Below are 22,543 nucleotides of genomic sequence, written 5' to 3' on the forward strand. Positions count from 1 at the left end.
GAGATATTAAGGCTAGTGTTCTGGGAACATACTAAGCGGGGCGCTGATTGAACCACTTATAATTATGTCTGGAAAATCATAGAAAGTAAAAGGGGCCATCAGGAGGCTGGAGAAGTGAAACGGATGTGACTCCTGTCTTCTAAAAAATGGTAAACAAGCCTAAAAATGTTCATCCAGTCAGTTTGGAACTAGATACAATGAAAGGGGGAAAAAATCTGTCATCTCCGGGAGGAAAGTAAAATTGAGAAGCGTGTGTGTGCGTGTGTGTGTGTGTGTGTGTGTGTGTGTGTGTAAGTATGCCTAAGGGCCAAACCACACCAAACAGAATAGCGCTAAGTGATCAAATTGAAAACAGAAAAACAGATGTGTTGTAATGGGTGTGCCACAAGTGGCTGTTGTTAAAACAGGTTCAGGTTTTCGCTGTGGTTGTAGGTATGTAAATGAAAACTGCACAGAAAAGAAAAATCGATGGCAGGGAATCATTCAGAGAGAGGGACACTCTCTGGATGAACAGAGTATTCTGAACCAATTTAACATAAGGTCTCATTTTGGATGGGGAGAAAGCTGCATGTAACTGAAAAAGCTGATAGGTAGGTGTGGCTGAGGAACAATTCAGGAACCTGAAGAAGTCAACAACCACATGAACACCTAATTATGGGGGGAGGCGGTGGGTTGAAACAAATGAACATATTTGGGAGGAAATCTCTGCTCATCCAAAAAAGCCATAGGAAGGCCCTGGAAGCTGCCTTGCTTTGGGGGTTGCATGCACACAATTTGGATGTGGAGCTCTGGGACCTAGAAGGGAGGTGACACACTGGGGTGGTTTCAAAAAGAATGGGGACGGCCCCTAAGGGGGTTAGCTGAGAGGGAGTGGCTCCTCATGGTAATGATCCTAACTGACTCCACAGCCCCAGCGCCCTACACACTTTTACAAGGTTAAAGCAACAGCTTGAACCTGTATGGGGTGAGCATTTGTTTCCTTTCCAGATTGCCAGCTAATGAGGAAAGATTAAAGGAGCTAAATCTGTTTAGCTTGGCTAAGTGACGACGGAGGCGGCAGGAGTGGAGAGGCATGCTGGGCAGCCTGGCCAAGCGGAGGGGTGTGATAACCGTCTGCAGATTTCAGGAAGGTGTAACTACGGTGGAAGAAGAGCGGCTGTCTCAGGTGGCACAGGGGCCTCACCCTTCGGCAGCGAGTTTCCCAACAGTGAGCTCGGTGGCTCCTGGAGCAGCCAGTTGACCTGAGGAAGAGAGAGCAAGGATTAGGAACATCCCGGCTGAGCCAAGGGAGGGACCAAGCCAACCCACCCAATGGTCCAGGCACTGTCCCAACAGACCAGCTTTCATTTTGCCTTTTGCTAGCAGCATCCTCAGCATTCCCAAGGGTCTTCTCTGACTCTCTGCCCCCACTGCAGCCAATCCCTTAAGGGATTTGGAGTCCAGAAAGGTTCCCCCACTTTCTGGCCTGTGATAGACATTCGCAGTAGCTGGTTTGGCAATTCAGAACCTGCCTGTTCTTTGATGATATCTTCAGATAGATTATTCCAAGGCTATGAGATCAGAACCTGTGCGAGGAGCTCTTCTGGGAATGGAAATAACTTACCCAAAAGGGGAAGCAAGTGGCAAGGCCCAGGGTGTGGCGTCCCTGGGGTCCCGAGCCTGGCCCATGGGGGCCAGCCAGGCTGCCTCCCGCATGCTTGCTGTTGGCAATCTCATGGTTAAACACTTAAACAATCTTTCTTTCTCCTCTTTTCTCTCTCCTCCTCTCTCTCTTTCACTCTCTTCTTTTCAGAGTTGACAGGGGCCAAATAAAGGCCCTTTTAAAAAAAAACACACAAAACAATTTTGTTCCTTCTGAAAGTGATGGAGCGAAAGTGAGTGCAGATTATAGGCCTGTGAGGCGAGGGCCTTCCAGACGGGGGGAGAAGCGGTGACATGATGGGAACCTAATGGCAGTAATTGGCCCTGGCTTTGACAGGGCCCATATCACAGCTCAGGAAAAGAGAGATGTTTAAAGTAAAAATTTACACAAAATTATATGTTTTCGGGGTGAAAAAGACTGTTTGGATTTCATTTTTTTTCTTCCTCTTCTTCCCCCCAGGGCATGTTTCATGGGTCATCCTCTGCATGTGTGCGCGTGTGTCTGTGTGCGTGTGTGCACACATGCCCGTGCAGCTGTCTCCCCAGGTATATGGGCATCTTATGCCACATCGCCAATGTCTTCTACTTCCGCTCTTCCTGGAATAGAGGCGTTTGTTAGCTTTGGAAGTTTCCCTTCAGGAAGCAGAAAGAGCCTAAGAGAAGAAGGGAGAAAAGAACCATTCGAGTAATAGATCAGGCCACCCTTCATAGTATCACCACAGCAGACCTTGTTTGGATTCAATATATAGTCGTGTAGCATCTTGTATTTATCCTTGTATCGCTTAGTCCTAAATATAACCAAGTAATAGATCAAGTAGCTATATTTGTTTAGTGTCTAACTCCCACTCCAAACTGTGAGCTCTTTGAGTGCAGGACCCTGTTTCTCTTGTTAAGTGCCATAATCTCAGCACCTAGCACAGTGCCTCCCACGTAGCAGGCTTGCAGGATTTGTTAAATGAGCGGCCTAAAATAATGGAATTATGGAGGGACAGCTGCGATGTTGGAAGCCCGTGCCTTCCTGAGTAGAAAATGCTGATCAATCAGACTTTCGTCTAACTAGACAATACTAGAATATTCAGATAATTGATTCTTCATTGCCTGTTGGAAATGTAGCCTGAGAGGAAGACTTCAGGGGTTGCAGTGAAGCTAGAATATTAGGCATTCGTCCCTGGTTCAGAATGGTTTAGGCTTCCTCCATTGTGAGCTTCACTAGAAGCTCTACAGTCAAACCCCAACTGACTCTTTAATGCTGATGACCATGCTAGTGTTGAAACGATCTCCTCTTCCGGCCTGCAGAATGTCCTGCTGCTCCCTGTTTTACTTGGGATTTAGGTGTTCTCTATGGACTAAGCTAAGAACTAGCCAGCTATTGGGCTACTTTTTAGATTTTTTTAAAAAAGATATATCTTTTGGCTAACATGATAACAAGACCCATAAATGAAACAAAATTGAATGTTTTATTCACATGAGCTCAAGGGAAGTACCCGAGTCACAGAACCACAGATTGGGGAGTGGCTTTAGAGGTTCTGAAGTTCATGCTTTACTAGTTGTGTGCATAACCTCTACAGTAACCTCTCATGCTCCAGATGCAAAGATTGGCACGTCCAGCAGGGCAGGTAGAGTTTAAAGTCAAGAAGCAAAGGGGTAGGAGCTGGGCTGAACAAGGACCAGTCCTTGAAAATGGGTCAGTCATGGGGGAACAAACACAGAAAGGGAAGACCTAGCAAGACTGTTCCAGGGAGTGGCTATGAAGGCTGGAAATAAGTTCTGAAAGGCAAGTCCAGGAGGCTGGTGTTGAATGGAAATGTATAGCTATCAGCAGCAGGGACCAAGCCAACAGTCTATTCCCTTCCCATTTTGCCTCAATGTTTGAAGAAAATCTCAGCCCAGACAAACCAGGAGGTTTCAAGACCACTAGGGGAATCCAGAACACGGGGTGGATGTCACTGGGGACGGGAGAAGGGTAGCAGGGTATAGAATCAAATGGAAATGGGGCTCTTAGAGCTGTGGCAGTTGCTGAGATTAACTGAGGTCAACACAATTGAGTAGATGGTTCTTGAATAATGTAGGTGTAGTTTGTGTGGTGATTATTGTGTTAGGTACAGTAATAGCAGATAAAGTTGTAAATGATCCACAGGATTGGCATGCTCTAGGAATGAAGAAGTCATTGCTTGTGGTGAGAATACAGGTTCTTAAAGAAAAACTGAGGCATTTGGGGTTTCAGAACCATTTATTTGTCCCAACATTTATAGGATGCCTGCTCTATTCCAGGTATCATGCTGAGTCAAAGCTCTTCAGACCTACTATTTAATTTGAGTCACTTCCCTTTTATTTTCCCTTTGTGTGATGAACTGAGGGTGCCAGTATAGGGGAAAATGGCTAACATTCCATCCATGAAAATCACACAGTATGAGAAGGCTCTCTTGGCAATCTCAGAGTTCTCCGAGCTCTGTAGATGCTCCAAGAGTCTAGGAAACAGCAGCAGCTTACAGAAGTTTCCTCCTTTGACATTTAGCACAGAGATGGCAACCTTGTCCTTATCTGCTACCTCTGTGTAGGAATATTAAAATTGTAAATTACATACACTTTCCTAAAATACAGTCCTTTCACCCGGACCTGAAATAAATGACTTGGCTTCAGGTGCCTCTGGGTATCACTTGGCTTGCCCGTCAGTGCGGATCTGAAGATGAGACGCTAAAACCTTCAGATCTGCCTCCCTTGAATGTGATCTTAGCTGCTACACCATCTCCTTCTAAAAGGATAGCAAAGGAGATATGGGTGTTGTTTGCTTTTTCACTCATCTAAACTTTTTGCTTAAAATTATGGAATCTCAGAGCCTTGGAGATGATGCAACATATTTTTAAATAAACTGCCTCGTCTAAGTTAAGTGCTGGAAATACAAAGGTTTAAAAACAGTTCTCCTTTAAAGGAATTCATAGTCTACCAAGGAGACAGGCCAGCCAAAGAGGTAATGTCAAAACACTATGGTAAGTGCTAAGATAGATGTAAGATGCAGCACCTCCTAGAAGAAGCAAACACCTAAATCAACTAGAGACCTTAAGGAAGACTTCACAGAATTAGCAAAGCTTAAAATGAATCTTTAAGAAGTTTGCTACGCAGCCAAAGAGCAAAGGAAAGGTGTTCCCAGCAAAGGACATGGCATGATAGTTGGATGCATGAATTTTAAGTCAACTATTCCTGACCCCTTGTTCCTTAATATGTTTAGCAGCTTCTAAGAAATTTGCTGTCCTCATTTTTGTGATAGCTGTGTGCAGTGTATAAGGATAGTGAGAAAAAGAAAGGGATCGAAGAACCACCAAGAGAAAGGAAGATGGGAGGAAAGTGAAGGGAAAGAGGAAGAGAAGGGAAAGGAAACCAATATTTATGGAGTGTCTATTATATGCCATGTGGTTTTACATGATCTCATTTCATATTATTTCCATTCCATACATTAAGTCAATGTGTTTCAGAGAGATGAATGATTTCTTCACCTAACTTCACCTTTTTGTCCTCTCCTGTCCCCATTCTCATGCTAACCCTACCTCAGACCTCTCTTTGAAGCTCCACACTGCCTATTTACCACCACCACATGGATCTCTAACAGACACTCTGCCCTCACCAGTCCAGAATGCTGCTCATCATTTTTCCCACCAAAACTGTTCCCTCTCCCCTTTTCCCATGGCACCTCCCCATCCACTTGTCCAAGCCAGAAACCTGGGAATCACTCTTCAGCCTTTCCCTGTTCCTCAGCCCCTCAGTCTACCTCTAAATCCTATCTCAAATGCATTCCCTTCTCCCCAGCTTGCCTGGCACCGCCCAAAATCCAGGCATCAGCATCTGTCCTCTGTCACTGCTGGAACTGTCTTCTATTTGATTTCTCCCTTCCATCCTTGCCACTTCCCATTCTAGCCTCTCCACCTGGCAGCTAAGGAATCTTTTTAAGAGATATGACCCCTAGAGTCAAGCCCATAATCCTTAACGCGGCAAGACCTGCCCCCTGTCTTCCCGGACCCCCATCTCTCCTCGGGGTCTTTCATCCTGCCCAGTTCCCTCTCTCCAGCCTCCTTACATGACTGCTTCCCCTCATCCTTCAGATCTTAGCTTCAATGCCATTTCCTCAGAGAACTCGTCCCAGTCTATAAAAGATTTCACCTGTTTTTTTCTTTCTTTCTTTTTTCTTTTAACCTGGCCTTTGACTGTTGTCATCACCGACTTTTCTATTTCTTATCTATTGTCTTCAAGTGTGTTTGACAAATGTAGTTAGACATTTATTTGCCTGTTTAGTTGTTTCATGTCTGTCTTGTTCACTAAGTGTAAGCTCTGTGAGGGCAGCACTGTGTTTCTTTATATTTTTAGAGACCAGGGTCTTGCTCTGTCATCCAGAGTCATCAACACTGTGCACAGCACTGAGTAGAGAGTAAGCACTTAAATGTTATATTTTAATACATTACATATTTTTGTTAAAAAGGAATATTAAATTAAATGTGTTCAGGATAAAGAAGAGCTTGGATTTAAATCCGCCTCTAGGGCCAGGTACGGTGGTCCACACCTGTAATCCCAGCACTTTGGGAGGCCAAGGCAGGTGGATCACCTGAGGTCAGGAGTTCGAGACCAGCCTGGCCAACATGGCAAAACCCTTTCTCTACTGAAATTACAAAAATTAGCTGGGTATAGTGGTGCGCACCTGTAATTCCAGCTACTTGGGAGGCTGAGGCAGGAGAATCACTTGAACCCGGGAGGCGGAGGTTGCATTGAGTGGAGATCGTGCCACTGCACTCCAACCTGGGACAGAGCAAGACTCCGTCTAAAAATAAAATAAAATAAAATATAAATAAATCCACCTCTAGGCTGGGTGTGGTGGCTCACACCTGTAATCCCAGCATTTTGGGAGGCCAAGGTGGGAGGATTGCTTCAGGCCAGGAGTTCGAGAATAGCCTGGGCAACATAACAAGACCCCATCTCTATAAAAAATAAAAAAATAAGCCAGAGCAGTGGTGAGCACGTTTAGGCCCAGCTACTCAGGAATCTGAGATAGGAGGATCGCTTGAGCTCGGGAGTTGGAGGCTGCAGTGAGCTATGATCACCCCACTGCACCCTACTCACTCTGGGTGACAGAGTGAGATCCTGTCTCTAAAAATATGCAAATAAACCCACCTCTTCCTGATGCCAAAGCTCATGATCTTTCCTCTTCCTCAGGCATTCAGTGGGGGAAAATCCAACACAGGCCATCAGGCAGTGCATGGTATTCCTGGAGTTTGTTTCAGAGAAGAGACAGAAAGCCTTTAAAAACAATCCTGGGCCGGGCGCGGTGGCTCACACCTGTAATCCCAGCACTTTAGGAGGCCAAGGCAGGCAGATCACGAGGTCAGAAGATCAAGACCATCCTGGCTAACACAGTGAAACCCCATGTCTACTAAAAATACAAAAATTAGCCAGGCGTGGTGGCGGGTGCCTGTAGTCCCAGCTACTCGGGAGGCTGAGGCAGGAGAATGGCGTGAACCCGGGAGGCAGAGCTTGCAGTGAGCCGAGATTGTGCCACTTTCCTCTAGCCTGGGCAACAGAGCAAGACTCCGTCTAAAAAACAAAAAAAACAAAAAAAAAAAAACTTAATCCTGATTAGAAGGTGAACTCTTTGCAGCTAGAGGCCATGTCTTCATTGTTTAGTAAAGTGCCTGGCACAGGGTAGATGCTCAATAAATAATGAATGAACGAACAAATGAACCATGAGAAACTCACAGGTTTCTAATTTGAACAGATGGGCAGAGGCACCATTCACTGAGGTAGATGAGGGAGAGGAAGAGCAGATTTGTTGGCTGGGTTGGGAGGGGTGGGGAGAAATGAAAAAAGAGTTTAGTTTTAGAATGACATGCAGAGAAAGGCACAGTTGTCAATAAGCGTGTTGTGTTTTGAGAACAATGAGAAGTTTATTCATTCAGTCATTTATTTATTTAGTCATTAATCAACAAATATCTATTTAAAGCTTAATACATGTCAAGCACTACGCTAGGCACTGAACATATGATAATAAATCAGACAAAGTCAAGAAAGGGAAATGGATAAGAAACACCTATTAAAATGCAGAGTGGCTCATGCCATTATCAAAGCAAGCATAGGGTGCTGTGTGTGGGGCCTCAGAAGCGGAGGCTGCAAGACTTCCTGGGGAAAGTAACACCCCAGTTGCATCCTGAGGAATGGAGGAAGTAGGTGCTAGCCAGACTGAAAGCCAGAGAAAGGGTGTTCGAAGCAGAGGAAGTAGCATGTGCAAAAGCCCAGCAGCAAAAGAAAGAAAAGCACTCAGAGAACTCCAGATGGTTCAGCAATGTGGGAATCCAGTGTCGAGCTCAAGGTGCTCCACGGACAGTAGTAAGCGGCCCAAGTTGTGAACCTCCTTGACCCCCCTCCCTCCATCTCTCCATGTAGAGAGAAGAATAGATTGCACGGAAAGTCAAGTGCAGGTGTCAGTCAGTCCCTGTGACTCACAGTAGGATGTGTGAGGGGAAATGAGGAGAAAGTAGGGTTGAAATTATAACCTTGGACCAAATTGTTAAGAGCCTTGTCTGCCATAATGGAGGGTGACTTCTAGGGGCAGTTGGTAACCACTGAAAGTTTTTAATTGGGAGGGTGGTGGTGATGACATGATCAGATCCATATATTAGAAAGATAACTCAGGGCTAGTGTGAAAAATGGATTAGCAGAGACATGACAAGAAGGGACTATATTTTCTGTCAAGAAGGCATTCTTCAAACTGGAAAAAAATAGAATGGTAAGAAGATGCTGAAGTCCAGCATTGTGTGTGTGTGTGTGTGTGTGTGTGTGTGTGTGTGTGTGTGTGAGAGAGAGAGAGAGAGAAAGAGAGAGATTGTAAGAAACTACATGAGTCTCGGGCTGGGCGCGGTGGCTCACGCCTGTAATCCCAGCACTTGGGGAGGCCAAGAAAGGCGGATCACGAGGTCAGGAGATCGAGACCGTCCTGGCTAACACAGTGAAACCCCGTCTCTACTAAAAAATACAAAAAAAAATTAGCTGGGCATGGTGGCGGGCGCCTGTAGTCCCAGCTACTTGGGAGGCTGAGGCAGGAGAATGGCATGAACAGGGGACATGGAGCTTGCAGTGAGCCGAGATCGCACCACTGCACTCCAGCCTGGGTGACAGAGCGAGACTCCGTCTCAAAAAAAGAAAAGAAACTACATGACTCTCAGTTCTGACGTTCATGGGCAACTTAACTCCCTGCCATCTGCCTCTCCTGCCTTGGGTTTCCCTGACACATTTTGCCTCCTCTGCTCAAAGAGTCCTCCCTGCGTCTTGCCCATCTTAAAGTAAAACTTCAAGTTCAAGCCTTCCCTACTGCTCTTCCCCCAGACAGATTGAACAGTTTCATTCTCTAGGCTGCTATATCATTCTGGACATAACAACTACATTATAATTCCTGTTTTTCTCATCTGTTTCCTAAACTAGATTATATACTCCTTGAAGGCTAAGACTGTACAAGTTTCTTTGTATCCCCGACATCAGGTATTGTTCATGGCAAACACTCAGTGAGTACTGGATTGGAATTTATAGGAATGCTAATAAACTGGGATGATCTAATAATGTGATTTGTTTTTGTTTTTGTTTTTGAGATGAGGTCTCACTCTCTTGCCCAGGCTGGAGTGCAGTGGCGCAATCATAGCTAGCTGTAACCTCAAACTCCTGGGCTCAAAGGATCCTCTCACCTCAGCCTCCCAAGTAACTAGGACTACAGGTGTGCACCACCATGCCCAACTAGTTTTTTTATTTTTTTGTAGAGTCAGGATCTCACCATGTTTCCCAGGCTGATCTGGAACTCCTGGGCTCAAGTGATCCTCCCAACTTGGCCTCCCAAAGTGCTGGGATGACAGGCATGAGCCACCACCTAAGGTGAAATTTAATAAATGTGAATTCCTGCACCTGGATCTAAAACTTTAGCTGCCCCAGTACAGGATAGGAGAGCAAGATATCTATTCAGCAAACATCTCCGGACTATCAAGCAAATGCTAGGTACTGTGCTTGACAGGGGACATAAAGCAGGAAACCAGGGAGACACATTCTTTGCCGTCATGGAGTTTACACATGGGATGACAAATTTTAAACAAGTAACCAAATATAAGTGAAATGCTGTAGAGAACAATATAGAGTCCAATGGAGACCTCACCTGGTCAGGACCATAGAGGAGCACTCTATGAGGAAGTGATGTATAAGCTGACCTGAAAGACTGCTGGAGTTTTCTAGGCAGAGTCAAGGGTTGGGCCTCTGTGGGTGTGGGTGGGGGCAGGGGTGAGATAGCGTTTTCAGCATTGTTATCATTACTTCCTTAGGCAAGTCTTCCTTGACTTCTCTGAAGAGGTCACATCTTCTGTGGCCACATGGATCGCTCGTACAGAACTTACCTCTACTGCAGATTCATGTTTATTTCTGCCATGACTTGATCAATGCCCAAGGCCCCCACTAGACTGTATGCACGGTGAAGAGACCTGTCCCTGTGCTCATCAGTGTATTTCTACTGCCTAGTACAGTACCTAGCATGTAATAGGCTCTCAATTGATGTCTACTGAATGAATGAGTGAATGAATGAATGAATGAATGAATGAAGTGGGTATTCCAATCAGAGAGAACAAGCACCAAAGACCAATGTGTCTGGGAACACAGTGAAGGGGAGACTGAGTGTCTCAGAAAATCTGAGTGTTTGGTCAACTGCCAGCTATGCATGAAACAACAAAGCAAGATGGCCGCAACTTTAGGATTTATTAAGAAAAATCTTGTCTCTACTCTGTCTTGGCCAGACTAAACCTACAGTGTTGTTTTCTTTCCTGGGTGCCACACTTTAGAAAAGACCATGACAAATGTTTGCAAAACATTTCCATGTGGGAAGCTCCATCACATGATGGAAGGATGGTGGGATTTGAATCAGATGGACATGGTTTGAATTCCAGCTCTGTCGCGTGTTCACTGAATTGGACAAATCGCTGAACTTCTAAGAGCCTCTTTTCCTATCCATAAAGTAGGACTAATAATATCCAGAGTCCTGAAAGCTAAATGGAATGACATGCAAAATGCCTAACATGGAGCCTGGCACACAGTAGGCACCCAATAAATGTGAGGCCCCATACCTATTAGAAGAAGCAGAACTCAGAGCATTTGAGTTACAGAAGACTTCTTGAAGGGGGTAAAAGTCGAACTGGTCACTTAAGGACTGGAGGATTCTATTTTATTGAAGAAAAGAGAGACCTTAATTGAGGTGGGTGGACAATAGTTGAGCACAGCACTGGGCTGGGCTCTATGCATGGACAGAGAGAACCAAGTAGAGACCAATCTGAGCTTCAGGTAGAAACATCCCTCCTGGGGGGGCGGGGGGACCTTCTGTGCTTGATGTCACCTTCCCAAAAGGAATGCAATGCCCGGGGACCATCTTTGACTAGTATACCCATTTTGGAAAGTAGGGAAACTCGATCTTAGTTTATAATTTGCTCACAAACTTAGATAACCTCTGAGGCCCTGCCCTCCTGGAGCTGGTGTGGTACATACATTCCACTAATGGTAGTTAGAGCAAGTAGGACTGTGTGTGCATGCATGCATATGCTTAAGCACTCACAAAGCCAAAACAAAGCGTGCTACCCACACTGGCCTTGGAGCTTGGCAGTCACAACCAACAGCAGCCCATCCAGAGAGCAGCTTTGGGTCTGGAAGGACTAGTAAGGGAGAAGGAAGGCGAGAGATGGGGAAGAACATATGTTCAAAAATAAACACTGCCTCCTGCTAAATGGTCTAGAAAGCATCTGTAAGAGGGGCTCTGGGCTGTGGGGTTTCCGAGGATGGTGAGTGTGGGAATGTTTTGTCTGTAGAGTTGGGGCTGGGGGCTTCCACATCCTGCCCACTGCCACATCTGGGGAAGTCATCTGCACTGGGCTGATGGCTCCCCGAGCACTCCTGCTTTAATGGCTCGTGGTGCCGCAAGAAGTGGCCCTGTAATGGCCATTCCAGGCTGCCCCGGGGAAGGGTCTGGGCAGGCCCCAGGCAGCCTGTTTGCTCTCCTCCCACCCCAGGCCAGCCAGCACCTTTCACCTCCTCTTTGCCTAGGTGAGCTGGCCTGAACCCTAGTTGGGAGCCTCCAGCTGTGGGGAGACAGTGGGACTAGAGGCCTTGGACATTTAGAGTGGGGATAGGACTTGGTCCCGCGCTTCCTGAATGCCATCCCCTTGCTAAGGCACAGGCTCCTGCATCTGTCATTGTTTGCGTTCTTCTCTTGACACAGCTCTGCCAAAACCTCATCTCTTTACAAAATGAGGCTAATGGTTATGGGGTCAGGTCCAAGACCAAGTGGTGCAGAAGGAGCAGGAACACCATGCTTTGAAAGAACCTGCTTCGCATGGTGTTAGGGAGAGGTATGGAAGGAGAAAGCAGAGAAATGTGCTGAGGCAGCTCAGAGGGCTCCCGCCTCTGCTATCCCCCAGGGCCCAAGAGGATCCATTGGTCATTTCTGCCCTCACAATCCAGCATCCAGCGCAGCCCCATCCCCTCGTCCATCCCGAGCCTGAGACATAGCTGCAGGTGCAGACAAACCTGCTCGCCAGTGACCTCTGGCATGGGGTATTTTAATGGCATAGTCCGCTTGCCTTGCTCAGGTCCCTGGGGAATTAGCTGGGGGACCCAAGAGCAGCGGCATTGTGAGTCGAGATACCTGCAAGTTGTAAGGATTGAGCGATGGGTCCTAGCTTCAGCAAGGGGGAGACTCCCCCTGCCACTCTGGTGCCCCAGCAGCAGCCTGGCTAGAGTGGGGGCCCAAATGTGAATGGGGGGATGCTGGAGGGGGGCAAAGGGAGGGGAGGGCTTGCACTGGCTCCTCTCAGCAAGGGCTCGTAAAGCTGCAGGTGTGAGATGTTGTTATTTAGTCTAGAGCCTGGTATGTGACAGCCCGGGCCCTCTCTCCTGCGAACTGCCGCCGCCACCGCCTCTGCTGGCCAGATAATTAGTCCATTACGACTCTCCCACCTCGGGTAGGTGGGGGCAGGGTGAGAGCCCACCCTCAGACTCCTTGTAATTCAACTTCCTGTGTTTTATGGAAGCAGGCTGTTGGGGGCAGAGAGTGAAAGGCCGGTCCCTAGGCTTGGCCAACCCCTTCCTCAACTCCCAGCCCCCACCTCCCTCCTTCCACCCAAACCCGGTTGCTGTGGTGACCAAATGTTATTTCCCAGCTTCGTGTTGGAACTGCTTTGTAAAAGTTTTTTACATCTCTTACCTGCCTCAAACACGAATGCAGGCTGGTCTATCTCTCCCTGCGTCTTGCTCTGCCCGTCTCTTCCTCCGCATCTCTCCTCTGTCTCTCTCTATTTTTATTACACGCTTATCGCCTTTTTCCCTCCTGCTTTTGAAATTGATTTCCTTTCCTTTCTCCCCCTATTCAGGACCTAAACGCTGAATGTTCGATATTTCATTTGAGACCGCTAATCGCATTACTGCCCTTGACGTTTTACAGATATCATATTATGGGCGCAAATTTGGCAAATTATTAGCGCTGTAATGTATAGCTTGTCAGAGGTATTTAAGACGCTAAGAGCCCAAGGCTTATCGGGGTTAGCAGAGAGCTCTCGTTGAGCTTTTGAAATGCAGAGAGCCAGTTATAAAACACACTGTGACTCTCTCTTCAGCTGGTGAAAAAAAGGAAAAGAGAAAAAGAGAAAGAAAAAGAAAAAAAATGTCACCCGTCTATCAGAGGCTTCCAGGGCTGATAACAAGCAAAATTCTTCTCTGTGGGTTTCACTGGAAATGTGAGAAGCTTTTAAAACATTTCTCAAGCTGTCTGGAAAAGAAAAAAAATCTTTATTGAAAGGATGTAGCAATCTTTTTTACTGTGGCCTATTTATCTCTGGGGAAAAAGCTGTAACAAGAAGATCCCCTACTGGTCACCAGCCGTGTCAGGGCCTGCCTGGCTTTGGTGCCAGGACTTTGGTGTGGGGGGCTTGCTGAGCGAGAGGGGGGCCACCTTTGGCAAAACGGGGAAAGGCTGCTGGCTGGTGTGCATTCCTGTGGAAGAGGCAGCGTCCTGCACGCCTAGCACAGCGCTCAGGGCTCAGCAGACGCATCTCATCAAATCCTTTTTGAATGAATGGTTGAATGAACCAACCAACAAACACACACAAAAAATAACAGAACCTTGAAACTGCTGCCCCGCTTTGGTCTGCCTAACTGTGCCAGGTGCCTGTTTACCCCCCTACTACTGTAGCAAGTGACTTTTGCTGATACCACTGTCCACATGTGTTCCTTCACCCTCATACAAACATCCCTGCTCTTTTGAGGCCATTCGATCCTCTCTACTTACTTGTCACTGTCATCTGCTGATGACATCTCCCCTCTATTCAGCAGGAACGTTGGCACTCAGTATCTCCCTGCTCACCCCTATTCTGCGTTCCTCCTGTGAATTTCAGCACCCACATGGACTGTCCACATCCTGGGATCCTCTGCTGCAGCATCCTGCACTCCTACAGCAGATTCCATGGAAACACAGCCCCGCCCTCAGTCTGACCATCTCCCACAATTTCTTCGTCTCAAAAATAATGAACTCTGAATCCCATTTTGTAAGCTGCGTCTGCTGTCCTTATGTCCGTTCTCCTTCCTCACTCCCACTGAATCTGTTTTTGACCTCCGTTAGACCTTCAGTCCCTGGACCATTCCTAATTTAACAAGCCCACCATTCCCCTCCTAGCTTCACTTTCTTTCCTGCCCGACCTTGACCCTTTGATCAACATCTTTAAAGAATTTCTTCGTGCCATTTCCTCACCCTTTTGCCTTTCTGTCCCACCTGTTTGCCTACCTCAAATCCCAAATCCATGAAAGCATTTACTTTCTCCTCTATTTCCGGCCTGTGATGCTCCGGGGAGAAAAGCGCATAACCATTTCAACTGGTGTCACCACTAGCAGACCCTGACTAAGTCTCAACAGTCTGCGTACTTGTCCCAGAATGACTTCCCATTTCCCACAGCAGTTGTTGTAAACCCTTCCCTCTCTCAAAATATTTCTCTTCACTGCCTCTGTTTACCTCATTCTCTGTAGATGACTTCATTTCCTGCTTTTCAGAGAGAATAAAGGCCAAACAGCCACAACTTTTCTCCCTCCCTAACCTTGGCCTCACCCTGGAGGCCATCTTCACTGAATTGTCCCCTAACTCAGTACTACTCAGTACTTGTGTCCTGACTCAGTACTACTCAGCACTTTTGTCCTAACTCAGTACTATCCAGTACTTGTGTCCTAACTCAGTACTCATCCTTCCACCTGGGCCCATCACTCCTCCTCCTTCAATCTGGCACCACCATCTCTTCTCTCACATTTTAAATATCCCTCTTCCTACCAATGCCTTTCTCTCTGCCTTCACACACCCTCAAATCTCCCCTTTAAATCTTCTTTTAATCTTAACTTCCAAGCACATTACTCTCCCCTCTTCCTCTTTCCCTTTACTGATAAACTTGTTCAAAAGACATCTCACTCACATTGCCTCCACTTCCCCACCTCCCATTCAGTCAGCCCATTCACTCAATGAGCTCTATCCCACTTCTTCACTGACATTCTGATCACCTCTTCTTTCTTCAAAGCCGCTCTTCCCTTAGCTTCTCTGACTCATCTCTTTGGATCTTATCTACTTCTACTCCTGCTCATTCTCCTTCCCCAGCTTCTGCTTGATGTGCCCCTTCAGTATCGCTGCTTCCCAGAGTACACTGCTTCACTTCTCTCCTTACTTACGCATCTTCCCGGGGTGAGCTCATCATGCCTGTAGTTTCACCTGCCACCTAAACACTGATGAATACCATGGCTGCAACTTCAGCCTCAACCTCTCTCCTGAGCTTCATGCCCATATTCCAGCTGCCAACTCACTATCTCTCCTTGAATCCTTGCAGAGCACCTCCAGACTCAACATATTCAATACTGACATCATTATATTCTTCCAAGCCTGCAACTTAAATGATCCATCAGCACCATCTAACCACACAAGCAGAAACCTAGTTTGACCTAGAGTCTTCCCTTTTTCTTTCCCCGTTATCTGTCCTCTTTCACCAAAGGAAGGAGGAAAGGAAGGAAGGAAGGAAGGGAGGGAGGGAGTAAATAAGTAAAACTTGGGAAGTAGGAGAGAAGTGAGTTCCTTGCCTTGTACCTTATATCAGAATTAATGAATTAAGCCAGGCACTATGATGTACACCTGTAATCTCAGCCACTCGAGATGCGGAGATGAGAGAATCGCTTAAGTCCAGGAGTTCAAGACCAGCCCAGAAAACATAACGAGACCCTGTCTTATTTTTTTTTTAAGTAATGCATTAAATAGATGAATTAAAAATTTAAATGCAGGGCTGGGTGCGGTGGCTCACACCTGTAATCCCAGCACTTTGGGAGGCTGAGATGGGCAGATCATCTGAGGGCAGGAGTTCGAGACCAGCCTGGCCAACGTGGTGAAACCCCGACTTTACTAAAAATACAAAAATTAGCCAGGCATGGTGGCAGGCACCTGTAGTCCCAGCTACTTGAGAGGCTGAGGCAGGAGAATCTCTTTGACTTGGGAGATGAAGATTGCAGCGAGCCGAGATTGCACCACTGCACTCCAGCCTGGGTGACAGAGCAAGACTCCATCCCAAAAAAAAAAAAAAAAAAAAAAAAAAGTTAAATGCAAAGGGTAAAAATCATAGCTATGTATCTGGAAAGAACTTTCATAGTGTGAATGCAATGAAGTCACCAAAAATTCTAAATTACTATACAACAACAAAAGCCCCACCATAAACAAAAATAAAAGGCAAATGCCACCTGAAAAACAAAGATTTGCAGTAAGTATAGCAGAACATTTGATGTCCGTAATATGTAAAGAGTGCTTACAAATCAATAAAAAGCACTAATAGCTCAATATAAAATGGACTAAGTAATGAACAACCAGTTAATAAAAGAAATATGAACCTTCATATTAATATAGTTCATGTAAATTAAATGAGGTGATATTTTGCCGATACAAATTGGCAACTTTTTTTTTTTTTTGAGACGGAGTCTCACTCTGTCACCCAGGCTGGAGTCCAGTGGCGCTATCTCGGCTCACTGCAAGCTCCGTCTCCCAGGTTCATGCCATTCTCCTGCCTCAGCCTCCCCAGCAGCTGGGACTACAGGCACACGCTGCCACACCTGGCTAATTTTTTGTATTTTTAGTAGAGATGGGGTTTCACCGTGTTAGCCAGGATGGTCTCAATCTCTTGACCTTGTGATCCACACACCTCGGCCTCCCAAAGTGCTGGGATTACAGGCGTAAGCCACTGCGCCCGGCCCTGCAAATTGGCAACTTTTTTTTTTTTTTTTTTGAGACAGAATCTCACTCTATTGCCCAAGCTGGAGTGCAATGGCACAATTTTGGCTTACTGCAACCTCCACCTCCCAGGTTTAAGTGATTCTCCTGCCTCAGCCTCCCAAGTAGCTGGGATTACAGGCATGTGCCACCACACCTGGCTAATTTTGTATTTTTAGTAGAGATGGGGTTTCACCATGCTTGTCAGGCTGGTCTTTAACTCCTGACCTCAGGCGATCCACCCACCTCAGCCTCCCAAAGTGCTGGGATTACAGGCATGAGCCACCACGTTTGGCCAGAATTGGCAACTTTTAAAATTATAAAGTTCAATGCTAATAAGGGTAGAGTTAGGCAGACATTCTTATATACTATTGGTAAAAGCATACATTTGTATAACCTTTCTAGAAGCAATTTTGTAATGTGTAGCAAAATCCTTAAAATATTCATATCCTTTATTTTAGTAATTCCCTTCTTGGAATTTATTCTAAGAAAATAATTAGATATGTGGTCAAAGATTTATGCATAAGGATCATCATTTCAGTATTATTTATAGCAGAGAAAATCTGAGAACAACCTAATGTTCCACAACAATAAAATGGTTAAATAAGTTATAGTATAATCATATGATAAAATATTGTTCAGCCATTTAAAAACATATATTTGAAGAATATTTCAGCAGAGATCCTAAAATAATGTTAAGTAAAACTATGCATGGGAAAAAAAAAAGGAATTACACACACACACACACACAAACACACACACACACATATTTTTAGACAGAGTCTCGCTATGTCACCCAGGATGGAGTGCTGCAGTGGCACGATCCTGGCTCACTGCAGCCTCCACCTCCCAGGTTCCAGTGATTCTCCTGCCTCAGCCACTCGAGTAGCTGGAACTACAGGCAAGTGCCACCACACCCAGTTACTTTTTGTATTTTCTAGTAGAGATGGAGTCTCACTATGTTGTCCAGGCTGGTCTCGAACTCCTGGCCTCAAGTAATCCACCTGCCTGGGCCTCCCAAAGTGCTGGGATTACAGGCGTGAGCCACCATGCCTGGCCAGATATTTATTTATATTTTAAAAAGGAGATTTATTTGAAAAACATAAAAGCACGACAGAACACTTCATAGGCCACTTTACACAATAAAATAAGCAACAATAGGCTGGTAATAGTGCTATAATCCCAGCATTTTGGGAGGCCAAGGTGGGCGGATTGCCTGAGCTCAGGAGTTCGAGATCAGCCTTGGCAATATGGCAAAACCCCATCTCTACTAAAAATACAAAAAAAATTAGCAGGGCATGGTGGTGGGCGCCTCTACTCCCAGCTATTTGGGAGGCTGAGGCAGGAGAATCGCTTGAACCAGGGAGGTGGAGGTTGCAGTAAGCCAAGATCGTGCCACTGCACTCCAGCCTGGGTGACAGAGTGAGACTCTTATCTCAAAAAAAAAAAAATTAAAATTAAATAATAAAAAATAAGCAACAACATACTTTTTTTGTGAGTATAAACGTTTAGGTATACTAACAAAAGTTGCATGAGTATAGCATTTATGATCAGACGAACCATATTCATAAAGAAATAGGTCAAAGAGGGAAATGTATAAACACATTTCACTATAGTTGGTAATTGTGTGCCATCAGCTTTATAATTGTGGTTATCTGAAATACCATGATGAACAACCTAAGTCTTTTGACAAGATGGAGCAAAAACTACAATGGGTTACCACTGTGGGTCACCACCACATATGCAGTCACCCAAAGAGCAGAGATCTCAAGAAATTTTGTCTTTCACAAATGCAGATGTACAAAAAGGACATCTCGTCATTTACTGAGGAAGTTTCAACATTTTTACGTAGATGCGCAATGCTGATACACAAAATCAACATTGTGATAATGCACTTTCATGGAGTCAAATCTGCAAAAAAAAAAAAAAAAGCATAAAAAGAATTACAACTCTCTTAAAAGTCTCTACACAATTTATACCTCCAGTATTGGAAATGATGCAAAGATGAAATACGTAGCACAGCAAATTATAGCAAATAATGCTGACAATTTAAAATAGTGAAAGAACTGGTCACGCACAGTGGCTCACTCCTGTAATCCCAGCACTTTGGGAGTCTAGGTGGGCAGATCATGAGGTCAGGAGTTCAAGACCAGCCTGACCAACGTGGTAAAACCCTGTCTCTACTAAAAATACAAAATTAGCCAGGCATGGTGGTGCACTCCTGTAATCCCAGCTATTTGGGAAGCTGAGGCAGGAGAATCATTTGAACCCAGGAGGCAGAGGTTGCAGTGAGCCGAGATTGCGCCATTGCACTCCAGCCTGGGTGACAGGGTGAGACTCCGTCTTAAATAAATAATAAAATAAAATAAAATAATGAAAGAAAACTAACCTGTGATTGTGATCTTGGAGATTTTGGACATTAGAGATTTACGTTTAGGGATTTTGATCTTTTGGGATGTCAACATTTAGAATTATGGCATTCAGGATTGTGTCTTTCAGAATTATGATCCAAACCCTTTTAAAACACAGGTGTGACTGGGCTGCTCTTTGTAGATTCCTCCCTTGCTTCCTGTAATCCTCAAGGTAAATCCGGGGTCCTCCAGAAGTTTCACTAAGTGCTTCACAATCCAGCCCAAACTATTTCTTCTGTCCCATTTCTCATGCAGCTCATCTTCCCCTAAACTTTGTCTGCTTTTCCATGATTCCATGGCTTTGCAGGTCTTGTCCTTTCTACCTGTTGTCCTGTTATTTCCCTTTTCCATCTAGGAAGATTATTTATTCAAAACTCAGCTCCAGTATCATCTCCCTGGTGGACTCACTCCGTTCCAAGCATTTAGTTGCTCTCTCTGATGTGTGTCCAAAGCTCTTTGCCAGTTAACCCCATTAGACTGTAAGAGCACAGAGGCCAAAGTCTTTTCCTTATTTTTGCTTATTTTCTCAGCAGCTAGCACAATGCCTGGCAGGTAGTGGGTGTTTGAGGAATATCAGATCAGTTATTAAATTGAAGATTTCTGACTTTTCCCTTCCCCTGTGATGAGAGAGAACAGGAGAAAGACAGCCCCCAAAGCCATGACACTTTGGGGTCAGAAGAGCCCTTCAAGATGATCTGGTCTCTTCTTCCATGTTTGAATTCCCTCCATTAGGACCAATTATCATCCAATCACTGCTTGAATACCTCTTATGAGGGGGAGCTCATTATTCTTCAAAGCAGTACTCTGATTGTTAGAAAATACTTTCTTAAAATGAGCCTAAACTAGCTTTAACTTTCACCAACTGTTCTTGGTTTGGCTCATAGGGGACATACAAGAATCAGCTTCCTCTGCCTGTGTCACCCCTCTCTAAGCCTCCTCTTTCTGCCCCCCTTTTTTCTAAGGTGCTGAGTCTCACTCCCCCTTCTACTGTACTGCTTTATCCCTCTAAAGTCAGTGCAGATGACCTCTCTCTCAATTAATACTCTACTGCTGATGATTCATAATGATGTTTTACATATGTACGCTCTTTATGGTTTACAACGGGCCTTCACATACATTTATTATTATTTTGAGCTCACAAAGAATGGTGCCCAGACCTGCCCTGTCCAAGGTGGCCAAACCAGGACACAGCAGGGTGAGCCTGTCACCACTTTATGAATGCGGCTGGAAGTCACATTAGCTGCTGACTCATACTGACCTTATCAACTAAAACCCCTACCTTGTCTCATTGCTGAGTCATGTCTCTTTCATCCTGTCCTTATGCTGTTTTTTTAGATAGAAATTCAGACTCTTACATTTATTGTTATCCTTACTTCTACTATTTATTGAGTCCCCACTATATACCAGAGGTGGACACTTCAGACATATGTGTATTTTGGCATCTTTTATCACGTGGTTTATTCCTTATTAAAACTGTGGGTGAGCATTATGAGCTCATTTTGCAGGTGGGAAAGCTGAAGTTAAGAAAGGGAAGCAACTTTTGCAAAGTTGAATAGCTTATAAGAGGCCGAATTGTTTTATGACTTCAAAGCCTTGCTTTGTTCTGTTTTGTTTGAATTATAACAGTGTGCCTTTCAAAGGGGAAGGAGGAGCAGAACAGTAGGACTTGAGTGCTTGTTGTATGACTGATGCAGTGATAGGAGCATTGCCTTCATTATCTCCGTTAAGCCCCACAGCAATCTTATGAAAAACACCAGTCATCTATTTGCTATCCACCTGTGTCTCCTGCAAATGGGAACAGCTCAAAGCAGAAGGGTATACTGAGGCTTTCTGCTGAATGGTCCTGCCCCTGAAGACCTTCTTGTCACAGCAGGGGAGGAAGAGGGGAGCTCCAGCTCCCTAGGGGAAGTCGGTGCAGCTGCGTTGCTCTGTAGGATTGAGCCACTGAGTCCCTGGACCTGGTCAGTCCCTGCTTGCACCTTTAAAGACCAGACTAAAAGGAAGGAGGAAATAGATGGCAATAAAATGGTGGACTTCCAATGTCACAGACATGAGGGTTTGCCCCCTCTCTTTGGTCTTGGAAAGAACTGCCCAGCTTTGAGTCCTAAAGGGGAGAGTAAACGAAAGTCTGCTGAAGGCTCTAGGTCAGCATACTGGTGTGAGTTTAAAGCTTTAAGTCCAGGCTGGGCATGGTGGCTCACGCCTGTAATCCCAGCACTTTGGGAGACCAAAGTGGGAGGGTCACTTGAGCCCAGGAGTTTGAGATCAGCCTGGGCAACATAGTGAGACCTCATCTCTAAAAAATATCAGAAAAATGAGCTGAGCATAGTGGTGCATGCCTGTAGTCCTAGCTACTTGGGAGGCTGAGGCAGGAGGATTGCTTGAGCCTAGGAGGGCTGCAGTGAGCCCTGATGGCACCACTGAACTCCAGCCTGGGCAACAGAGTGAGACCCCGTCTCAGAAAAAATAAAAGAAAAAGAAATAAAGTTTTAGTCCAGGTTGGTTCTCCCAAACTATGGAATAGATAGAAACATGTATTAAGTACTTGCTTTCGGCCAGTACTTCATACTGAGTTGCAGGGACCACAAAGAATAAGACACCTGCCCTGAAGAGGTTCAAAAGCTATTGATTGACATGAGATAGAAGTACAGGGTGCTTCCAGCACATGAAGGGTCACCTAGATCAGACAAGGGATGGACTGTCAGAAAAGGCTTCTGCAGGAGATAGCACCTGACCCAAGTTAGGAGGAGTTGGCACTGGAAAAAAGTGGATAAGCATTCTAAGTAGAGGGATCAGAATGAGCAAAAGCAGAGAGGTAAAAGAAAGCATCCATTTTTAGGGGGAATTTGACCCAAGTCAGCATTGCAAGGACATAGAGGTAGGGCCTAGGAGATGAGCCCGAAGAAGGAGGTGGGTGCCACTTCATGGAAGATCAGCTGAAGAGTCTGAACTTGATTATTTTTATTGAGACAGACTCTTGCTCTGTTGCCCAGGCTAGAGTGCAGTGGCACAATCTCAACTTACTATACCTTGGCCTCCCGGGTCCAAGTGATTCTTGTGCCTTAGCCAACTGAGTAGCTGGGATTACAGGTATGTGCCACCATGCTTGGCTAATTTTGTTTACTTTTTGTGCATGGAGGTTGGGTTTCGCTATGTTGGCCAGGCTGGTCTC

The 22,543-nt window shown here is 45.5% G+C and overlaps 1 protein-coding gene across 15 annotated transcripts in view, besides 5 other annotated features; it reads left to right on the top strand.

Annotated features, from left to right (window-relative positions):
- The window catches only part of RNF220 (ring finger protein 220), a 246,942-nt gene that overhangs the window by 106,874 nt on the left and 117,525 nt on the right, over positions 1 to 22,543 (top strand). The gene's annotated exons all lie outside the window — the stretch shown is intronic.
- Positions 9,893 to 10,058: a silencer, noted in NCBI's record as "fragment chr1:44987221-44987386 (GRCh37/hg19 assembly coordinates)". NCBI's record gives its function as "represses an EF-1alpha promoter that drives an FKBP-Casp9 reporter gene in an ReSE screen in HepG2 liver carcinoma cells {active_cell/tissue: HepG2}" and the evidence as "EXISTENCE:reporter gene assay evidence [ECO:0000049][PMID:32094911]".
- Positions 11,132 to 11,989: an enhancer, noted in NCBI's record as "H3K27ac-H3K4me1 hESC enhancer chr1:44988460-44989317 (GRCh37/hg19 assembly coordinates)". NCBI's record gives its function as "activates a minimal SCP1, AML or CMV promoter by ChIP-STARR-seq in naive and primed H9 embryonic stem cells {active_cell/tissue: H9 hESC(naive and primed)}" and the evidence as "EXISTENCE:reporter gene assay evidence [ECO:0000049][PMID:30033119]".
- Positions 11,990 to 12,846: an enhancer, noted in NCBI's record as "H3K27ac-H3K4me1 hESC enhancer chr1:44989318-44990174 (GRCh37/hg19 assembly coordinates)". NCBI's record gives its function as "activates a minimal SCP1, AML or CMV promoter by ChIP-STARR-seq in naive and primed H9 embryonic stem cells {active_cell/tissue: H9 hESC(naive and primed)}" and the evidence as "EXISTENCE:reporter gene assay evidence [ECO:0000049][PMID:30033119]".
- Positions 11,990 to 13,821: a biological region, named in NCBI's record as "VISTA enhancer hs280".
- Positions 12,496 to 13,821: an enhancer, noted in NCBI's record as "VISTA enhancer hs280". NCBI's record gives its function as "enhancer in: limb[4/4]" and the evidence as "EXISTENCE:transgenic organism evidence [ECO:0001131][PMID:17130149]".

The sequence above is a fragment of the Homo sapiens genome, chromosome 1, assembly GCF_000001405.40.
Source record: "Homo sapiens chromosome 1, GRCh38.p14 Primary Assembly".
In the NCBI taxonomy this organism is placed as follows: Eukaryota; Metazoa; Chordata; class Mammalia; order Primates; family Hominidae; genus Homo; species Homo sapiens.